This window comes from Homo sapiens, chromosome 10 (assembly GCF_000001405.40).
Source record: "Homo sapiens chromosome 10, GRCh38.p14 Primary Assembly".
Taxonomy (NCBI): domain Eukaryota; kingdom Metazoa; phylum Chordata; class Mammalia; order Primates; family Hominidae; genus Homo; species Homo sapiens.
Genome location: NC_000010.11, coordinates 131,860,213 through 131,881,006, shown reverse-complemented (window position 1 = coordinate 131,881,006; position 20,794 = coordinate 131,860,213). Strand labels below are relative to the sequence as shown.

The 20,794-nt window shown below is 49.1% G+C and overlaps 2 long non-coding RNA genes across 2 annotated transcripts; one reads left to right on the top strand and one right to left on the bottom strand.

The window, feature by feature from the left end:
* Nucleotides 1–1,223: 1,223 nt before the first annotated feature.
* LOC105378566 (uncharacterized) lies at nt 1,224–5,556 on the bottom strand. Its single transcript, XR_946488.1, has 3 exons — nt 5,352–5,556; nt 1,960–2,048; nt 1,224–1,422 (listed from the first exon to the last, which is right to left on the bottom strand). It is a non-coding gene; the product is annotated as an uncharacterized LOC105378566 (long non-coding RNA).
* A 123-nt stretch (nt 5,557–5,679) lies between these two features.
* On the top strand, nt 5,680–20,345 carry LOC105378565 (uncharacterized). Its single transcript, XR_946487.4, has 2 exons — nt 5,680–6,264; nt 19,640–20,345. It is a non-coding gene; the product is annotated as an uncharacterized LOC105378565 (long non-coding RNA).
* The last annotated feature ends 449 nt before the right edge of the window (nt 20,346–20,794 follow it).

Here is a 20,794-nt window from a genome sequence, read left to right as displayed (position 1 = left end):
TGGTCATTCAGTCTCAGGATGTTTCCCCCCACCCTGTAACCAGGAAGCTCCCCAGTGCTTTAGAAGGTGGCTGCAAAGTTGCCCAGGGCAGGGCCGGCCTCTGCTCCACCAGAGCAGGGCTCAAGGAGGGAGAAGAGGAGCCTGGACCCAGTGTGGCCTCCCAGGGGATGTGGGCAGCCTCAGGGAGCGAGTATGGGGTGGGGCTGCGCTTCCAGGGAAAGCTGATTGGCCAGAGGCCTCCTGGTCCTCACTCTCTGCTGCCTCAGAGGGGAGGGAGATGATGGCCTTCTCTTCTCCTGCGCAGCCTCTCCCTGTTACTAGTACCCCCCCGAGTGATAGAAGCCCCCTGCAAACTAGCTGGGCCACTCTTGGGCAGAACCCACGTCAGCCTGATCTGACCTCTTCCCAGGATTTCTGACGGGACCTGGTAGGGGAGGATTTGGGTCATGAGGCTGTTGAGACATAAAGCCCAGTGTTGCCTGGAGCTGTTTCCCGGCTCCAGGCAACGTTGAGGGTGGGGGGTCAGAGGGAAGCAGAGAGATGGGTCAGAGTGAGAAATGCCCTGAGCCCAGGCAGGGATGGAATCAGCTCAGCCAGTGGGGCCGGAGAGTGCCGGAGCCCCCAGGATCCTGAGAGGACAGCGATGGTGTTAGCGGTGGGGAGGACCTCGCGGGCCTGGAGTGGAGACCTTGGCTTCCAGGACTCTGCCTGTGTGGGGGAGGACTACACTTTGGTCATCTGTGTCTCAGCCTGGGATGCTCTGGGGCCTGCCCAGGCCACTCCCTCACCCCATGCCCATGCCTGAGGCCAGAAGGAGGGTCAGTGGACCCAGGCAGCCCCCACCCATCAGCACCTGGGTCAGCCCCTGGGCCCCACCCTGCCTGCCTCCAGGGCTTTGGCCACGTGGACCTATCCGAGGGTCCTGGCTGGGCCCCACCCACACCCCGGCCCTCCCTGCAGACCAGCCTCCGGGCTAGAGCTACCTGCATCCACCTCATTGTTTGTGACTTTTCCGATGAAAGTTTTCCACACGCAGGCACACCTCCTTCCCCTCCTCTTATCACGCTTCACTGTATTGCATTTTTCACACGCTGGCTGTTTCCGGCATCACCACACAGGACAAGTCCATAGGCACCATTGTTCCCAGAGCCTGTGGTCACTTCATTAGTGTTTTTTTGCAATGAATATTTCAAGATGAAGGTATGTACATTTTTTAGACATAATGCTATCACTATCACACTTTATTAGGCCGCAGTGTAGTGTAAACATACATTTGACATGCACTAGGAAACCAAAAAGTGTGTGTGGCTGCATTTGTTGTGATCACCACTGTGCTGTGGCCTCTGGAACTGAGCCCACGATGCCCTGAGGTTTGCCCGTGCCGCCTCATCCTCCAGGCGTCTCTCTGAGCTCCACCTTGCACTTGGAAGAAATGCAGCGAGAGATGAGCTGACACCCAAAAGGAATAAAAAACCACGGAAAATCTTTGCTGTAGCCTCTCGAGAAGTGTCTGAGAGGAATGGTGCTGCATGAACAATGGATCCTGCCACTCCCCAAAACGTCTGTCCACCAAGCAGGGCGCTCTCTTCTCGGACTTCATCCAAACCCAGCAGTCCCCAGCCTCTCCCTGTGGGTCTCGATGTGCTGTCTTCTCTTCGGCGAGAACTCTTTCTTTTTTTTTTTTGAGATGGAGTTTTACTCTTGTTGCCCAGGTTGGAGTGCAATGGCACCATCTTGGCTCACTGCAACCTCCACCTCCTGGGTTCAAGCGATTCTCCTGCCTCAGCCTCTCAAGTAGCTGGGATTACAGGCATGCACCACCATGCCCGGCTAATTCTGTATTTTTAGTAGAGATGGGGTTTCTCCATGTGGGTCAGGCTGGTCTTGAATTCCCGACCTCAGGTGATCAACCCGCCCCGGCCCCTCAAAGTGTTGGGATTACAGGTGTAAGCCACCTACCTCGCCCAGCCAAGAGAACCCTTTCTAATGCTGATGTGGTTGGTCAATCATGGCTTCCACAGGTCAGTCCCCGTTGTGATTCTCAGAACCTGTGAATGTGACTTTACTTGGAAAAGGGGTTTTGTAATGTGATTAAGAGTCTTGGGATGGTGAGATCATCCTGGATCATCCTGGTAGGCCCTAAATGTCACTACACGCATCCTAATTAGAGAGAGGCAGGGGGAGACTTAACACACGCAGGGGAGGAGGCAGCGTGAAGACGGTGGGGAGAGTGGAGTGATGTGGCCAAAAGCCAACCACTGCTGGTAGCCCCTGCAGCGGGAGGAGGAAAGAAAGCCTCCCGAGGGGGCACAGCCCTGCTGACACCTTGATTTTGGCCCTGTGAAACTGGTTTTGGACTTCTGGCCTCTAGAACTGTGAGAGAATACAGTTCTGTTGTCTTAAGCTGTAAAATTGATGGTAGCTTGTTACAGCAGCTGTGGGAAACTGAGACACCCTCCAACCTGGTTTTGCTGGACTTCTCTGCGTACTTTGGATACAAGCCCTTTATCAGATGTGTGTTTTGAAAATATTTTCTCCCAGTCTGTGGCTTGTTTTTTCATTTACTTGACAGCATCTTTTACAGAGCAGAGGTTTGAAATTTTAATGAAATCAAACCTCAATTTGGGGTTGTATCTGAAAACCAAACCCAAGGTCACATACATTTTCTGTATGGCATATTCTGGAACTGTTCATTTTGCATTCTACATTTTGGTCTGTAATCCACTTTGAGTAAATTTTGTGAAGGGTAGAGGATCTGTGTCTAGACTGATTTTTTTTTTTTTTTGCACGGGGTATGCAGTTATTCCAGCAGCGTTTGTTGAAAAGATCGTCTCTGCGCTATTGTATTTGCTGGTGTGCCTTTGTCAAAGGTCAGTTGATACTTATGTGGGTCGATTTCTGCACTCTCTGTTTTACTATGTTGACTTGTTTGCTTGTTCTTTAGCCAATACCACACTGTCTTGATTACTGTCACTTTATAATAAGACTCGGAGTTGGGTGGTGTCAGTCCTCTGACTCTTTTCTCCTTTAATATTGTGTAGGCTATTTTAGGTCTTTGCCTTTCTGAATAAACTTTAAAATCAGTTTGTCAGTATCCATGAAATAACTCACTGGGATTTTGATTGGGAGTGCATTGAATCTATAGAGGAAGTCAGGGAGAACTGACATCTTGACAATATCGAGTCTTCCTATCCATGAACACGGAGTGTCTCTCTATTTATTTAGCTCTTAGATTTTTTTCATTAGAGTTTTGTTGTTTTCTTCATATGGGTCTTATACATATTTTGTTGGATTTATACCTAAGTATTTCATTTTCTTGGAGCTTACATAAATGGTGTTGTGTTTTTAATCTCAAATTCCAATTGTCCAATGAATGCTATAGAGGAAAGAAATGGACTTTTGTATATTAACCCTGTGTCCTGGAGCCTTGCTATAATCACTTATTAATTCCAGGATTTTTTGGGGGGTGATTCTTTGAGATTTCCTACATAGAAAATCATGTCATCTGTGAACAGTTTTGTTTCTTCTTTCTCAATCTATACACGTGTTATTTCCTCTTCTTTTCTTACTGCACTAGCTATGACTTCCTATACGACGTTGAATAGGAGTGGCCAGAGGGGACATCCTTGCCTTCTTTCTGATCTTAGAAGAAAAGCATCTAGTTTTTCACCATCTAATGTTAACTGTAGCTTCTTTGTAGATGTTCCTTATCTACTTGGGGAAGGTCCATTATGTAAAAAGTTTATTAAGTTACTACAGCCGAGCGTGGTGGCTCATGCCTGTAATCCCAGCACTTTGGGAGGTGGAGGTGGGCAGATCACCTGACGTCAGGAGTTCAAAACCAGCCTGGCCAACATGGTGAAACCCCATCTCTACCAAAAATACAAAAATTGTCCAGGTATGGTGGCAGGCGCCTGTAATCTCAGCTACTCGGGAGGCTGAGACACAAGAATCGCTTGAACCCGGGAGCCAGAGGTTGCAGTGAGCCGAGATCGCATCACTGCACTCCAGCCTGGGCAAGACAGCAAGACTCTGTCTCAAAAAAAAAAAAAAAAAAAAGAAAGTTTACTAAGTTACTATAAGACGTTCTCTTCTTAAAAAACCTATTTAGAAAGTTAGTTTCCAGAATTAACAGTGGAAACGTGGCAGGGAGCATCTCTCTCCACATGGCTGCCTGTAGATTCCCCTTTCCTCTTTGCTCCAGGACAGACCCCTCCTCCCTCCGGGCAGACCCTCCAGCTCCCACCCACTTGGGCCTCTCCTGTGCGTCTCCCGCAGCACCTAGGCCTCTGCCCTCCCCTTGCCCGCTGGTCTCTTCACTGTCAGAGTCTCCCGTGCTCCAGCCTTTCCTTCGGTCTGGAAAATTGCCAGATCACTGAAGTGACACCTTTGGATTTAATCAGCCTTTCTTAAAGGAAAAGTTGTTTTTCTAAAGCAGATTGGAAGAATGAGGTTTTATATGCTGGGTGTTGTAATACCTGATGAGGCTTTGTTCAATACCCTATTAGCACCTTCACGGGGCAACTAGTGTGTTGGGCCAGGATTCAGGGTCACCGCCCCTCCCCTCCCAGGGAGTCCCGTGCCTACCGGAGGAGGGGGGGAGTCTCAGGAGACAAAGGAAGGTGGAACCTAGGCAGAGTCCCAGTGACACTCCTGGCCGGGGGTGCAGCGACCTGGTGGGACGTGGCCTCCTATTATCTATCCCCTCTTACAGATGAGCAAACTGAGGCATAGCAGGAGGAAGTAACTTCCCAAAGTCACATGGCTAATTTGTGGCAATCCAGGCCTGGAGCCTGAAACCCGAGTCCGAGCAGGAGAAGGTGCTTCTCTATCTTCCCCTCCGATCCTGGCCCCCAGGCGAGGGAGGGCGGGCCAGCTGGGTGGGGAATGGTTCGGGGCCTGCAGTGACCACTGGCAGGGAATTGGCCATCTGTCCCCTCCCTCTCTGGGCCTGAAGAGACAAGAAGTCTGCCTCGAAAGACAGGAAGAGCTAAGAAGAGAGAAGTGGGCAGCAGGGCCTGTGGAGGGGAAGCAGGGACTGTGGGGTCTCCTCCGGCCACCGGAAGGAGAGCCTGAGCTCGACCCCTGAGGCTGTGTCCAGGATGCCAGCCTCCCTGCAAGGGAGGGGAGGGAGAAGCCTGGGTCCAGGTGGAAGCCCCTTCAGGCCCTGCGTGGCTCCTGGGGACTGTGCCCTAATGCCTGCTCATGTCCACCCTCCCACACCTGGAGGATTGGGGCTGGGGCTCTAGGGGTCCTGCTGATGGCCTGGAATGGGGCCGCCTGCAGCCGCCCAATGGGAGACAAAGCCCTGCATGTGTCACGGGCCGGGGCCTGCCCCCAAAGACACAAACCGTGCAGAAACAGAGGGCAGCATCCCCCTTGAGGCAGAAGCAGCTGAAGGTGTTGGGGGGCAGTGGCCTGTGGCTCAGTTTTCCTTAAGATCCACCCAGGCCCCTCAGCGCCACTGCCGTGTCCTCTGGGGAGGGGCAGGCGGGGCCAAAACGCTCTTTGGTAGGTTATGTAGACAAGGTCTAAATAATTTAGACTCGGGACACATTCCAAAGGCAAACATCCTCCCTGGCTGGGAGATCCTGACACCTGCCTCTTCCAAGGGAAAGTTCCCATGGAAACAAACCGCCACTCCCACCCGCCCCAGCTGAGAGCCCTCCACCCTTAGACTCCATTCTGGAGGGCTGGAGCTTTGCGGGGCACCTTCACACTCGCCCAGCTGGTGCTTCCCTGGCTGGGGAGGGCGGGCAGGGCTCGGGGCTTGGCCGGCAGCCCCTGGGGAGGTGCATACTCGCCTCCTGGCTCCTTCCTGGCATGGTCCCGGCAGCGGGAGGCAGCTGCACCAGGCCGGAGGAGGGGCTCAGAAAGCAAACGCAAGCAACAGCAATGAGAGGGACTTGCCGCGGGGTGGTGCTCTCGGACCTCATTTGAAAGGATTGGGAGCCGGCTCTTTCAGGCAACTTCCCTTTTCGTTGGACTTCTGTTAAATTGTCTGCAAAACCCACAGGAGGACATCTGAAATGAGATACAGCATTGCTGAAATTTATCACAGCTTTCATGTTCTGTTTCCCAAGACTACTCTCCCCTCCTCCTCGAGCTCCTCCTCGTTCTCCTCCACCTTTGTCATCCGTCATCACCTTTTAACTTTCATTGTTTTAGAGAGGAGGAAACTGAGGCATTTTCCTGACAGTCTTTGAAAGAAAGAGAAAAATCAAACAAAGAGAATGCCCGTTTCATTCACCTCATAAGAAACAGGTAGGAAAAAAAAATGCTCATTTCTCCTGAGTTTGGACACAAAATCTTCCTCCTGGGTTGGCCACTAGGGAACAAAGTTCTGGTCTCTGAGAAATGCTATTAAAATATTCCGTGACTATTTCATTTTAAATGTTAATCTGGTTTCCACTCGAGTTGTGAAGAAGAAAGTGGGAGATTCTGTCGCGATTCAGTCTTCAAAAAGGTTTTGTGATGTTAGGTTTAGAGCTTTGCTTATTGATGTCACCAAATCCGGCCAGTAAAATTAAGAGAAAAGAAGTAGGTTTGCCAAATCACGGGTGCAATTGCAGATGTGTTGTTGGTTACACGGACACCTCCACCGTTTCCATGGGTCCCTCAACTTTGCATTTCTGGAGCAGGGCTGGGCATGTGTAGCATTGCTGAGCCTCCCAGGAAGAAGCCAGGAGGTGAGTGTGCACCTCCTCGGGGGCTGCCCTCCAAACCCTGGGCCCTCCCACCCCCAGCCAGGGAAGCATCGGCTGGGTGAGTGTGGAGATGCCTCTCTAAGCTCCAGCCCCCAGAATGGAGTCTAAGGGTGGAGGGGTCTCAGCTGGGGGGTAGGAGTTTGTTTCCGTGGAATCTTCCCCTCGGAAGAGCAGGTGTCAGGATGCAGGAATGAGGGTCTCCCAGATGGGCCACGGGGACCAGTTTCCTGGGAGAAGTTGCACGGGGTCCGGTTCCAGCGCCCTGAGGGAAACAAAGCCATTTTCTAGCACAGAGGAAAGAGACACTGAGGCATTTTCCTTCTGGGGTGGGCGTGGTTGGGCCACTCTGCTTTCTCCTGGTGGATTTGGTCAGAGCCTCTGAGGTCTCCCTGCATGGCACTGGGCCTGGCCTGAGCACCATGTCCTTGGCCTCAGCCTGTCCTTCCCGGCCTCCCAGGAATTCCCCCCAAGCTCCGAGGTAGACCAGATACACGTTTGTTGAATTAAAGAATTAACGTTGGCCGGGCACGGTGGCTCACGCCTGTAATCCCAGCACTTTGGGAGGCCGAGGCTGGTGGATGGCCTGAGCTCAGGAGTTCGTGAACAGCTAGGGTAACACGGTGAAACCCTGTCTCTACTAAAGTACAAAAAATTAGCTGGGCATGGCAGCATGTGTCTGTAGTCCCAGCTATTCAGGAGGCTGAGGCAGGAGAATCGCTTGAACCCAGGAGGCGGAGATGGCAGTGAGCTGAGATTGCGCCACTGCACTTCAGCCTGGGTGACAGAGCAAGACTCTGTCTTAAAAAAAAAAAAAGTAGAATTAATGTCTGCTCTGAATTCCAGAGCTCCAGGAAGCTCTGATTATAGAAACAGGCCTCCTTGTTTATGGGGGTCCCCTACTGAGGAGACTCAAAGCCTGCGGCATCCTCTGACTTTGAAGGGGCTCCTGTAGGGAGTGGTTGCAGGGTGCAGGTGCGGACATGCCAGGCTGTGCAGGGGAAAGTGGCCAGGTGCTGTCCAGAACTAGCTCCAGCGCCTCAGGCCTCCGCTCAGTGCTGCCACAACCCGGGAATGAGGGCGTCCCCACAGCGCCCAGGAGCAGAGTCCACCCCTTCCAAAGCCAGCGTCCAGGGTTGCTGCGTGACCCGCTTTCCCCCCATGCCGGTCACACTCGGTACCACTGTTGACTCAGGAAACAGCTCCCTAGCAGGGGTGGAACCTGGAGTTGGGCTCCCTAGCCACAGCCACTTGAGGTTGTTCTGTGAGGGAGCTGGCAAGCCTGGGCTGCCCTGCTCCTGCCTGCTCGGAGTGCAGCACGAGGACGAGCCGGGACCTCTCCCCCGTGTGGTTAGTAAGAGTGGATGTGCAGCTCCAGGGAGTGAGCAGCAGGCTCTTTGGTTTCATGGAATCACGGACCAGCGCTGCCTCACTGAGGTCCCCGGGAGGGCATGACAGCCTGGGAACCTCTGGAGGATGGGATCCAGTTAGAGATCTTTTCCTCGTGAGGCTCAGCATTCGGGCAGCTCCTCTGTTGGATTAGGAGGGCCCTGACTTAGATCCCAGGCAGGGCAGGACCCGGGGACATCACAGGGTGCTTGAGGGAAGGGAGAGCCTGGGGTCTGGCTGAGTAGGAGGCGGGTTCGGCAGGCATGGTGACGCCTGGGCCTGTGAGGCCGCCCTGATGCACGGAGTGTTTGGGGCGGTGGCTGTGGCCATAGCACGAAGGAAGGAAGCACTAAGCCCAGAGCCCAGGGATGGGCACCGCTGAGGACCTGCAGGGACCCCCGTCCTTGAGGGGACTTGTCTACAGCAGTGGCACCCGGTGGCAGCAAGAGTGACAGTGGTGGATTCAGAAACCCACGCGGGCTCCTGGCATTTTGAGGGTGGGGTGGAGGTGGCGAGAGGGACTTCCTGGGAAGACATTATCTGGGAAACAAAAGGGAAGGGACCAGAATTATGTCCCAGGACACAGCACGCTGCCCTGTGTTCTCCTGGAGGGCCAGGGTGGGCCTCCACCTCTCTGGGGGTGCTCGTTCACAGAGGATCCCCTATGTAAGCCTCGGGTGAGTTGAGTTGGGGTCTGGCCAGGGCTCCCACTGATTGCCATTGTCTCCGCCTTCAGGGACCACAGAGACCCCCGGGCCTGCTCCGGGTTTGCCATGGGCTCTGGCTGCTGGGAATGGGGCCTGTGTGCCTGTGTCCCCGGCTCGGACTAAAGGCTCCCGCGTTGAAGTCAGGGGTTAATACCCTGCTCTTGATTCCAGAGCTGGAAAGACTCCACGTTCTCCTCTCTCTCTTGTCCCCTAGCTCCCTGTCATGGTGAGACCCCACTGGTCTGAGACAGCAGGGATTTCTGATTCTTCTGGTTACAGGTTGACGAACTCAGTTCCGACCTCTAGTCCCCGGGAGGACTTTCCAGAACCCTCTGTGCCACCAAGTTTCTCCTCTGGGTGTCCAGCATCCTGCCCTGAGGGTTGGCTCACGGCCCACTCCTGCTCCCGGCTGTGAGCCCTGGAGCCCCGGCGTCTCCCCAGAGCTTGGTACACCCAGCTGGTCAGAAAACCTTTGCAGGACCCAAGGGCAGGCCCTGCATGGACCCTGGGCCCAGGCTCCCGATTTCCTCTTGGTTGGACTCAGCCTGTGAGGGTGTCTGAAATCTGCAGCTGAGAATAGTGAGTGCCCCATGCTGTAGACACTCGAGACCCCTTGGTGCTGTGTAACCTCACAGTTCCTGCCACAAGGACGCTTCCAAGGAGCACGGAGTGTGACTCATTACATTTCACTGCATCTCTCAGTCACCTGATATTTTAAGTACACAGATTTCAAATAGGCTTCCAGGAACTTCTATCACTAGACCTGAAGATTCATTTGTCTTTATCTGGGAGCTCATTTTGTGTTCACTGTTTTAATACTTGTCATTTCAAACTAATATATCAGAGTCAAGCAGAGAATAATTTACTTGGAAAAATGAGACTCCATAGATAATATAAATAACAGTAAAAGAGTAATTTGGGTGCATTTGCAGGATATTTGAGGACTTGAATGGTGGTCTAGAATGGTACATGTTGTTTATTGTCACTAGTTTGCCAGGAAGGACATGTGATTCCACGAGTTGGAGGCATGGATGCTCTGGGCCCCGGGCCGCACCCTGTGACTTGCGGGCAGTGTGCTTCATGGGAAGGCGTGTGAGTAAGGGTGCTCTCTCGTTGGAAGCATCCTTGTCTCATCCCTAATCCTGCCATCTAGGCTGATAAGAAGTTAATGCCAGGAAAAGAAAATGTGTGTCTTTCGCCAACTCCGTCTGCTGGGTGGAGCTCCCATCTGTAATCCAGCCCCAGGCCAGATGGCTTCCCTCACCGCTGTATAACAGAAGCACACAATGTATACACAATGTATACACAATGTATAATCTGCATAAAAACCATGCATCTTCCCGGAGCACCGATCTTACTCCATGACAACTCACGGAAGCATTGTTTTCTATATTAAAATGAATAAGTATGTTATACATAGTGAAATATTGGCATTAAAAAAGAGTTAATAAATTTCGTAGGACGTTTTCTTTGTGTGGCTGGCAGGTCCAGGCCACATTCCAGATCCCTGGTGCAGCAAGCTCACTTGCCCAGAATCTGGGGAAAGCCCCGGCAGGTGTCATCCTGCCCAGCTTGGCCAATGGGCCCCGTAGTTACTCCCTGGGTGATCCTGGACGAGTTGCTCGGGTTGGAGAGCCTCCGTTTCCAGGCCGTGTTCCCTGGTGTGATCCCAGCAGGTGAGGGTGAAGGGACCTGGTCCTGGGCAGGCTTGCCCCTGCCTGGCCCCTCAATCTCCCCTGGCTGGAGGGTGGCTTCAGCTTCAGCCATTCAGACCTTTTGATTTAAACCAACTTCTGTTGTTTATTCAAGACATGACAATCCGAAGGTTTTGAAGCTTTTGCCTGGGAATTGATCTGGGTTTTAGTCTTTGGGCTCATTTTTACCCTTTAAAGATGACAGCATGTGCCATGTCGGGGGAAGAAAGGGGGATATTGTTGGTGAGTTGAGCTGTGGAAAGTATTTGGCAAGACAGGTCCTGGGGACCCAAGGACCCCCACAGAGCTCACCTGCACTTGCCTCCGCTAGACATGTGCTTATTCAAGGGGAAGGCAGTGCTTTGAAAATGCTGCTTCTCAGATGAGTGAGAAACCATGGACAGGCGTGTGGGAAGGCCCCGCAGCCTGGCCCCGCCAAAGGCACTTTGTTGCCTGCCCCCCGTTCTTGTGTCCTCCCCACCTCCCTGCCGAAGGATTGGTGGGTGATGGCCTCATGTTTATCACCACAAATTAAATACACTTATTTTGGACAACATTAACATGTTCATCAACTCTGATTTTTAAAATATTTGTTAAATTAGCAGGAGTTCAATTTTACTCCTTAAATGGGCTGAAAGTCAGTATTGATTTATTTAGTTGGCTCAACATAATTGCAAAGTAAGGTCTTAAACACAGCTTATTAACACTTTTAATAGGATGCAAAAAACCCAACATTTCAACAGAGATAACATTCTAGCATAAAAATAAGAGCAATTATGAAGGCTTTAGGAGGTGAAAAGTCAACTCTACCTTATATGGATGATGCTGGAGATTTTATTAGTAAATGTGGGTTTACGTCATCTGAGATTACTCACCAACAACGTCATTCTTCCGAGCCCGGCTGAAGCTGCCCTCCATTTTCCTGGGAGACCAGCACCGCTGCAGCTTCATTTTTGACTTCCACACTGTGGAGTATTTGGGGAGCGTCCACCCCGCATCTGGGCAGGAAGGCGGAGTCCTCTCAAGTTTCTCCTCTTGCTGCTGGGATTGTGCAATCCTTGAAGTAGATTTGAAACAACCAATCCTCCAGATCTGGGACCTTCATTCCCAGGCTGGGAGAATGTGGCCCTGAGGTCAGAATCCAAGTTTTACCCCCAGGAGAGCTCTGTGAATAGAACCTTCTAGAACTTCCCACCAAGATGAAGTGTTCTAGGTCTCTACTGCCCAGTGCAGCAGCCACTAGACACACAGAGCTGCTGAGCACTGGCAATGTGGCTGGTGTGGCTGAAGAAGTGATTTTCAGATTTCATTTCTTTATAATTAATTTGAATTTAGGCCAGGCATGGTGACTCATGCCTGTAATTCCAGCACTTTGGGAGACTGAGGCGGGTAGATTACCTGAGGTCAGGAGTTTGAGACCAGCTTGGCCAACGTGGTGAAACCCTGTCTCTACTAAAAACACAAAATATTAGCCAGATGTGGTGGTGGGCACCTGTAATCTCAGCCACTTGGTAGGCTAAGGCAGGAGAATTGCTTGAACCTGGGAAGTGGAGGTTGTAGTGAGCCGAGATCGTGCCATTGCACTCCAACCTGGGCAGCAAGAGGAAAACTCTGTCTCAAAAAAAAAGAAATTTAAATGCAATAGGCCTGTGTGCTTGGGAAAGTGCACCTCTAGCAGATGGCTTAGAGCTCCTCTCTCTCTCTTTGTAGGGATGGGGCCTCTCTATGTTGCCAGGCTGGTCTTGAATTCCTGGCCTCAAGTGATCCTCCCACCTCGGTCTCTCAGAGTGCTGGGATTATAGGCATGAGCCACCATGCCCGGCCATCTCTCTCTCCCTACAGCTGGCCTACCCTTCTCTCTGCAGCAGTGGTCCAGGTCACCGTGGTGCATGCTGGGAGAACCCCGGAATCTGGGGAGGGGACATCCAGCCACCCCTGTGCATGCTGGGAGCATTGGGCTGCCTTGAAGGGCAGCGGGAGGCAGGTGGCTAGGTACGACCACCACCTCCGCGTTGGCGAGACCACCTTTCCTCAGACCTTCCCTTTGATTCTTCTTCACGTGAATCAGTTTCCCCTCATCTCCATTTAAGTAGATTTAGGATGAAATTTACGACGACTCTTATTATGAACCACTGGTGAATCATGACCCCGTTTGCCCTCAGCTTTTCAACAAACCTCTGCAATCTCTTCCCAAGGCCTGGACAGAGCAGTGGCAGCTCTCCCTCAGCAAGGACAAGACTTTCAACTCCTCCATGGGGAGTAAAACCCACCTACCAGGTTTTAAGACTCAAAGGCTGCTCCAAAGTCCTTTTGCTTGTATCAGTCTATTTTTTGTAAAAAAGTCCTTAGTTGAAGAGTCCACATAGGTTTCCCATGGGTAAAGAACCCTATTAATATGGTCAAATAGAGAGTTTTCTTTTTTCTTTTCTTTTTTTTTTTTTTTTTTTTTTTGAGACAGAGTCTTGCTCTGTCTCCCAGGCTGGAGTGCAGTGGCATGATCATGGCTCACTGCAACTTCCGCCTCCCAGGATCAGGCGATTCTCTTGCCTCAGCCACCTGAGCAGCTGGGATTGCAGGTGCCTACCATCACACCCAGCTAATTTTTGTGTTTTTAGTACAGATGGGTTTTTGCCATGTTGGCCAGGCTGGTCTTGAACTGCTGACCTCAAGTGATCCACCTGCCTCAGCCTCTCAATGTGCTGGGATTACAGGAGTAAGCCACTGCACCTGGCCAAATAGAGACTTTTCTAGAACAGGACCACAAACCACTCCGCTCTCCCTGGGCCTAGCTCCCCATCTCCCCACCCCCAGCCACTGGAAACCACCACTCTGCTTTCTTTCGCTATGAATTCAAGTACTCCAGTTTCCTTCCATGAGTAGCGTAATGCGGTATTTGTCCTTTCGTGACTGGCTTATTTCACGCACCACAATGTCTTCAGGTTCGTGCAGGTTGTAGCATGTGTCAGGATCTCCTTCTTTTTAAGGCTGAATGATATTCCATTGTCTGGAGAGACCACATTTGGTTCATCCAGTCACATCCATCAATGGGCTCGGTGGCTTCCACCTTCCGGCTGTTGTGAATGGTGCTGCAGTAAGCATGGGTGTGCAAAGATCTGTGTGAGACCCTCTACTTTCAGTTCTTTCAGGTATATACCCAGCAGTGGACTTTTTTTTTTCCTTTGAGACGGAGTTTTGCTCTTGTTGCCCAGGCTGGAGTGCAATGGCACAATCTTGGCTCACTGCAACGTCCGCCTTCCAGGTTAAAGTGATTCTCCTGTCTCAGCCTCCGGAGTAGCTGGGACTACAGGTGCATGCCACCGCACCTGGCTAAGCCAGGAGTGGATTTGCTGGATCATATGGAAATTCTGTTTTTAATTTTGTGAGGTACAGCTACACTATTTTCCACAGCAGCAGCACCGTCTTGCACCCCCACCGGCAGTGCGCAGGGCTCCAATTACTCTACATCCCTTCCAACACTCGAGGACAGAAAAGGCAAGAATGAATGCGAGGGTCAGCAAATCGTGTGGAGTCGCTTGGAATTTTTAATGAGCGTGGCTGTCTTGATCTGCTCTGCCCAGAAGCACTTTGCAATTACGGAATATGGGTAGTTAATTTGCTAATTTCTGTCTTCTTGGTAGTGGCCATCAAGATGTGAGGCGTATCTCAGTGTGGTTTTGATTTGCATTTCCTGGATGATTTGTGATGTTGAGCATCTTTCCATGGGCTTATTGGCCGTCTGTGTGTCTTCTTTGATGAAATGTCCATTCAAGTCTTTCACCCATATTTGAATTGGATTTTTTTTTATCGATCCTTCTTGAACTTCAAACCCACTGTAAAACTCACTCTGCAGCATGTGCACCTGCAGGAAATCAGAGCCAGGATTTCTTTCTTTTCTTTTCTTTTCTTTTTTTTTTTTTGAGGTGGAGTCTCGCTCTGTCACCCAGGCTGGAGTGCAGTGGCGCCATCTCGGCTCACTGCAAGCTCCGCCTCCCGGGTTCACGCCATTCTCCTGCCTCAGCCTCCCAAGTAGCTGGGACTATAGGCGCCCGCCACCATGCCCGGCTAATTTTTTGCATTTTTAGTAGAGATGGGGTTTCACCGTGTTATCCAGGATGGTCTTGACCTCCTGATCTTGTGATCCTCCCGCCTCAGCCTCCCAAAGTGCTGGGATTACAGGTGTGAGCCACACACCAGGCCAGAGCCCGTATTTCTAATTTAAGTCAGTAAATGTTTGAGAAAACATGGGCCGGGGCTGTAGGGAATCGGTGTTTCTTTGGGACATCTTAAAGACTTGTTTTGATGCTCAGGTGCCAGCTAACAAGGTGGCCTTGGTTCCATTCAAAAGAAGAAATTGTGCTAAGGGCTTCCTCTCTGCTGTCAGCAGGAAGAACTCCTCGTACCATCCCAACCTTCAAGATAAGAATTTGGACAGAATGGGAGTCATTAGTGTCCTTTCACTGCAGGGAAGATCGAATCCCAACCTAATTATTTGTAAATGTGAAGTCCCCGCACCCCCCGAAAATTGCAAGCTTTTAATAATTGGTGTGAGAGGCACACTCTGTGCATAGGAGTCTGGGTGATTTAGTGATGATCGCCTAATCAGCCAGCATCGGCCACAAGTGCAACCGCATCCAGGGTGGGGGCGCCTGGGGCCAGAGCTGCAGTGAAAATGGGAAACACCTAAGCGAGTGATCCTGGGTCATTATTTAATCAGGGGAGAGGCTGGGGAGCTAATAACAGCTCCAGGAATAGGATTTAATGAGGAGAGAAAAGGCAAGAATGAATGCAAAGGTCAGCAAATCATGTGGAGTCGCTTGGAATTTTTAATGAGTGTTGCTGTCCTGATCTGCTTAGCTCAGAAGCACTTTGCAATTATGTAATATGGGTAGTTAATTTGCTAAGAAATAATAATAATAATAGTCCCGGCATTTATTTAGTTCTTGGCGATTGGCAAAGCCCTCTTGCACACACCGTGTTTGGTCCTTGCCAACACCGTTGTGGTGGGTGTCATGGGCCAGCCTGGCCCAGAGAGACCTGCCCAGGATGCTGAGCCTGAGGTCCGGTGATCAGGCTTCAGCTACCTGCCTGTCCCATCACTCCCTGGTGTGGCCACCGCCAGCCCCTCCAGCCCCCTTGGCCTTGTGGAGCCGCACAGTCTGGAATCACCTTCAAGGGCACACCCAGCAATGATAGTTCGTGTGGGCATCCCATGCCACAGCCAAGTAGACACGTTAAAATTGACTATCACAAAGTTCTTGACCACATATTTGTTTTGCAAATATCTCCCTCCAGTCAGTGACTTGTTTTTCTCATTTTCTTAACAGCGCCTTTCACAGAGCAGAAAAATTAATTTTAATAAAGTCCAACTTATCAATTTTTTTTCTTTCATGAATTGTGCTCTTGGTGTTGTATCTAAAAACTCATCAGTAAACCCAAGGTCACAGAGATTTTCTCTTATGTTTTCCTCTAGAAGTTTTATAGTTGTGCACATTACATTTATGTGTATTAACTATTTTGAGTTAATTTTATTTTATTGCCATATAATATAAAACTCATTGCAATACAATATAAAACTCACTTTGTTAAAATGTACAATTCAGTGTTTTTTTTTTTAGTGTATCCACAAGTTTGTGCATCTATCATCACTAATTTCAAAACATTTCAATCACTCCCTAAAGAAACCCTGGAACTATTAGAAGTAATTCATGGCCGGGTACGGTGGCTCATGCCTATAATCCCAACAATTTGGGAGGCTGAGGTGGGTGAATCACCTGAGGTCAGGAGATCGAGACCAGCCTGACCAACATGGTGAAACCCCGTCTCTGCTAAAAATACAAAAATCAGCTGGGCGTGGTGGCGCATGCTTGTAGTCCCAGCTACTCGGGAGGCTGGGGCAGGAGAATCGCTTGAACCTGGAAGGTGGAGGCTGTACTGAGCCAAGATCGCGCCATTGCACTCCAACCCGGGCGACAAGAGTGAGACTCTGTCTCATTAAAAAAAAAAAAAAAAAAAGAAAAAAAAGAAAAAAAAAGTAATTCATTTTGAACTCTTTACTTATTTATTTTTTTGTGAAAGGTGTGAGGCCCGTGTGTAGGTTCTGCTTTTTGCATGTGGGCATCCGGTTGTTTCAGCACCATTTGCTGAAAGGACTATCCTTTTCCCTTTGACTTGCCTTTGCGATTTTGTTAAATATCAGTTGGCTACATTTATGTCAGTCTATAACGGGGCTCTGTATTCCGTTCCATTGACCCATGTGTCTATTATTTTGCCAGTATTCAGCTGTCTTGATTACTGTAGCTTTATCCTAACTCATGAAATTGGGTAGAGTGAGCCCTCCAAATTTGTCCTTTTTTAGAATGGGTTATTCTAGGTCTTTTGCTTTTCTACATAAACTTTAGCATCAGTTTGTCAATATCTATAAAATGGCTTGCAGTGATTTTGATTGGAACTGCATTGAACCTATAGATCAAGTTGGGAAGAACTGACATCTTAACACTATTAAGACATCCAATCTGTAACCACAAATATTCTCCATTCATTTGGACCTTCTTTGACTTCCTTCACTGGTGATTTTTAGTTTTCTGCATATAGATGATGTGGTATTTTCTTACTTAAGTATATACTTAAATATTTCTGTTTTCAGAGCTATTGTAAATGGTATTGTTTTATAAATGTTAAATTCTAGTTGTTCATTGTTGGCATATAGAAAAGTAACAGCTTTTGCTTTTCTTTCTGTATGAGAAGAATGTGTATTCTGCTGTTGCTGGATCGAGTGTTCAATAGATGTCAATTAGATCCATTTGATGGATGGGGCTGTTCAGTTCAACTTGATCTTTGCTGATTTCTAGTCTGCTGGATCTGTCAGTTACTGAGAGAGTGGTGTTAAAATCTCCACCTGAGCGGTGGCTGCCTCCTTCTCCCTTCGGCTCTCCCAGTGTTTGCTTCATGGATGGTGACACTTGGGTGTCAGGATTATTGTGTCTTCTGGGGAATAGACTCTCTGGAATGCCCCACTTTTTTTTTTTTTTTTTTTTTTTTTTAAGATAGAGTCTCGCTCTGTCGCTCAGGCTGGAGTGCAGTGGTGCCATCTCGGCTCGCTGCAACCTCTGCCTCTCAGATTCAAGTGATTCTCCTGCCTCAGCCTCCTGAGTAGTTGGGATTACAGGTTCCCGCCACCATGCCTGGCTAATTTTTGTATTTTTAGTTGAGATGGGATTTCACCATGTTGGCCAGGCTGGTCTCGAACTCCTGACCTCAAGTGATCTACCCTCCTTGGCCTCCCAAAGTGCTGGGATTACACATGTGAGCCACCGTGCCCAGCCTGAATGACCCTGTTTATCCCTGATAATGTTCCTAGTCCAGGAATCTGAAATTATTACAGTAGTCACCCCTCATGTGCAATTTCACTTTCTGTGGTTTCAGTTACCCACAATCAACCATGGTATACAAGTATTAAATGGAAATTTCCAAAATAAGCAATTCATAAGTTGAACATTGCATGCCATTCTGGGTAGCGTGACAAAATCTCATGCTGTCCTTCCCCATCCTCCTGGATGTGAGTCTCCCTATGTCCATTGTACCCATGTCATTTACCCTACCTGTCAGTCACTCAGCAGCCATCTTGGTTACCAGATCCTCCCACGCCCCCTAAAAACCCCAAAAAACAGTATATACAGGGTTCAGCACTACTCTCGGTTTCAGGCATCCACTGGGGGCCTTGGATTGTAACCCTGGAGGACAAGGGGGGCTCCTGGACGGTGAATCTAGAGATCCCTGGAGGACAAGGGGGGGTCCTGGATGGTGAATCTAGAGATTCCTGGAGGACAAGGGGTGTCCTGGACGGTGAATCTAGAGATCCCTGGAGGACAAAGGGGGTTCCTGGATGGTGAATCTAGAGATTTTTCAATTACTGCTCCATGGAATAACTCTCTCCATCCTTTTACTTTCAACCTACTCTAGTCTCACTTGTTTTATGCACTCTGACCGTTTCTGTCTTATAATTGGTATATTGAGACCATTTGCATCCAAAGTGATTATCGATATTGTTGAATTCATGTTTGCAACTTTTTTATATTGTGATTATCCTTTGCTCCTTTTCCCTCCAACTTTTTCTGTCTTCTCTGGTTTTAATTGAGCATTTTCTATGATTCTGTTTTATCTCTTCTGCTCACATGTCAATCATACTTCTTTTTAAGCCACTTTTTAGTGATTGCTTCAGGGTTTACAATGGAGCAGGCCTTCCACATCTGTGGGTCCCGGGTATGTGGATTGAACTAACCACCAACTGAAAATACTCAGAGAAAGGAAAAAAGGATGGTATGCCTGCACCATGTACAGGCTTCTCTTTCCTGTTATCATTCCCTAAATAATACGTTATAACAGTGATTTACATAGCATTTACATTGTATTATATATCATAATATGGGAGGACGTGTGTGAGTTACATCAAATACTACACCATTTTAAATACGGGACTTGAGCATCTTTGGATATTGGTATCTGTGGGGGTCCTAGAACCAAGCCCCCAAGGATGCTGGATACACATTTTTAACTCATCTAAGTTCAGCTTTAAAGAACACCATTATCCCTTTCCACGTGGCACCTTCAACTTATAAGAAGGTCTTCTCAATTCCTCCCTCTCATTCTGTGACAATACTTTACTTTCATTTTTTTTTACTTGTCCATGTGTTATAATCACTTAATACATTGTTGCTATTATTATTTTATGCCGTTATTATTATTATTTTTTTGAGATGGAGTCTTGCTCTGTTACCCAGGTTGGAGGGCAGTGGTGCTATCTTGGTTCACTGCAACCTCTGACTCCCTGGTGAAAGCGATTCTCCTGCCTCAGCCTCCAAATTAGCTGGGATTATAGGCGGCTGCCACCACACCTGGCTAGGTTTTGTATTTTTAGTAGAGACAGCATTTCACCATGTTGGTCAGGCTGGTCTTGAACTCCTGATCTCAGGTGATCCACCTGCCTCAGCCTCCCAAAGTGCTGGGATTACAGGTGTGAGCCACTGCACCCGGCCTTGAACAGCTATCTTTTAGATCAATTAAAAATAATGAAAACAAATGCTTTTATTTAACCTTCATTTACTCCTCCTCTGACACTGTTCCTTTCTCTTTCTTCATTTATTTTAAGGATTTCATTAGTCTTATTTTAAGGATTGGCCATAGGATTGTGGAGGCTGCTGGTCTGAAATCTGCAGGGTGATTTGCAGGCTGGAGATCCAGTGAGGGGCTGGTGTTGCAGCTCGAGGCCGAGGGCCACCCTCTGGCAGAGCTCCCTCTTCTCCAAGGCACCTCAGCCTTTTTTCTATGAAGGCCTTCAGCTGATTGGCTGAGATCCACCACGTCCCAAACGGTAACCTGCTTTACTCCAACTCTACTGATCTAAGTGTTAATCTCACCTAGAAAGTACTTTCACAGAAACAGCTAGAACAATCTTTGGCCAAATGTCTGGGTACTGTGGCCTTGGCGAATTGACACATAAAGTGAGCCATCCCAGGGGCCGTAAGCAATGGCGCCCCCAAAGGAAGGCTCCGTGAATGTGCAGGAGAGCAAAATCCTTGATGTGAGACCTGAGCGGAAAGTTGAGCAGGTGCAGCTTCAAGAAAGGAGGCTGAGACCGGCAGGCTTGTCTGTGTGGAGGAGAAGCATTTGCAGATGGTGCGTGTACACAGAGCAACACCTGCAGAAATGCAGGGAGGTCACAGGTGAACGAGGTAGTGTCATGAAAACCTCAGTCCTTCCCCTATGGATGTGTGAACGGGATGCCACCTAAATAGAATTTCTAAAGAGATGTTTTCCATTTTCTTTTTTGAAATAAAAAGAAGTATTTAAATTCACATCGAGGAATAGTGTCTGAAAATAGTTGAGAATGTTTTCTAAAGAACAGTGAGCCAGGAATCACACCTTATCAGATACTTAGATCCCAACAGAGCCGATGGAATCCTGACGGCATGGTTTTGGCCCCAGGAACATGCAAGAAGAGCTGCCTGGAGTGGGTCCAAGTTCCAGGGGAATTTCAGGCAGCTCAGCGGGAACTGGGGGCTTGTATAACAGAAGGTGCTGGCATGATGGGCGATGAAGGAAAGATCCAGAATCCTGTATCGCACCATGCATAAAAATAAACCCCATCGAGAATGAAGAGTTGGATGTAAAGTGTGAAAATATTAAAAGATACCTAAAGATAGCATTCTATACCCTTGGGATGGGAGAGAGCTTCTCCCATAAGACGGGATATCTAAAAGCCATAAAGGGAATCAGACTTTGTCTTATGAGGTGCAAAATTTCC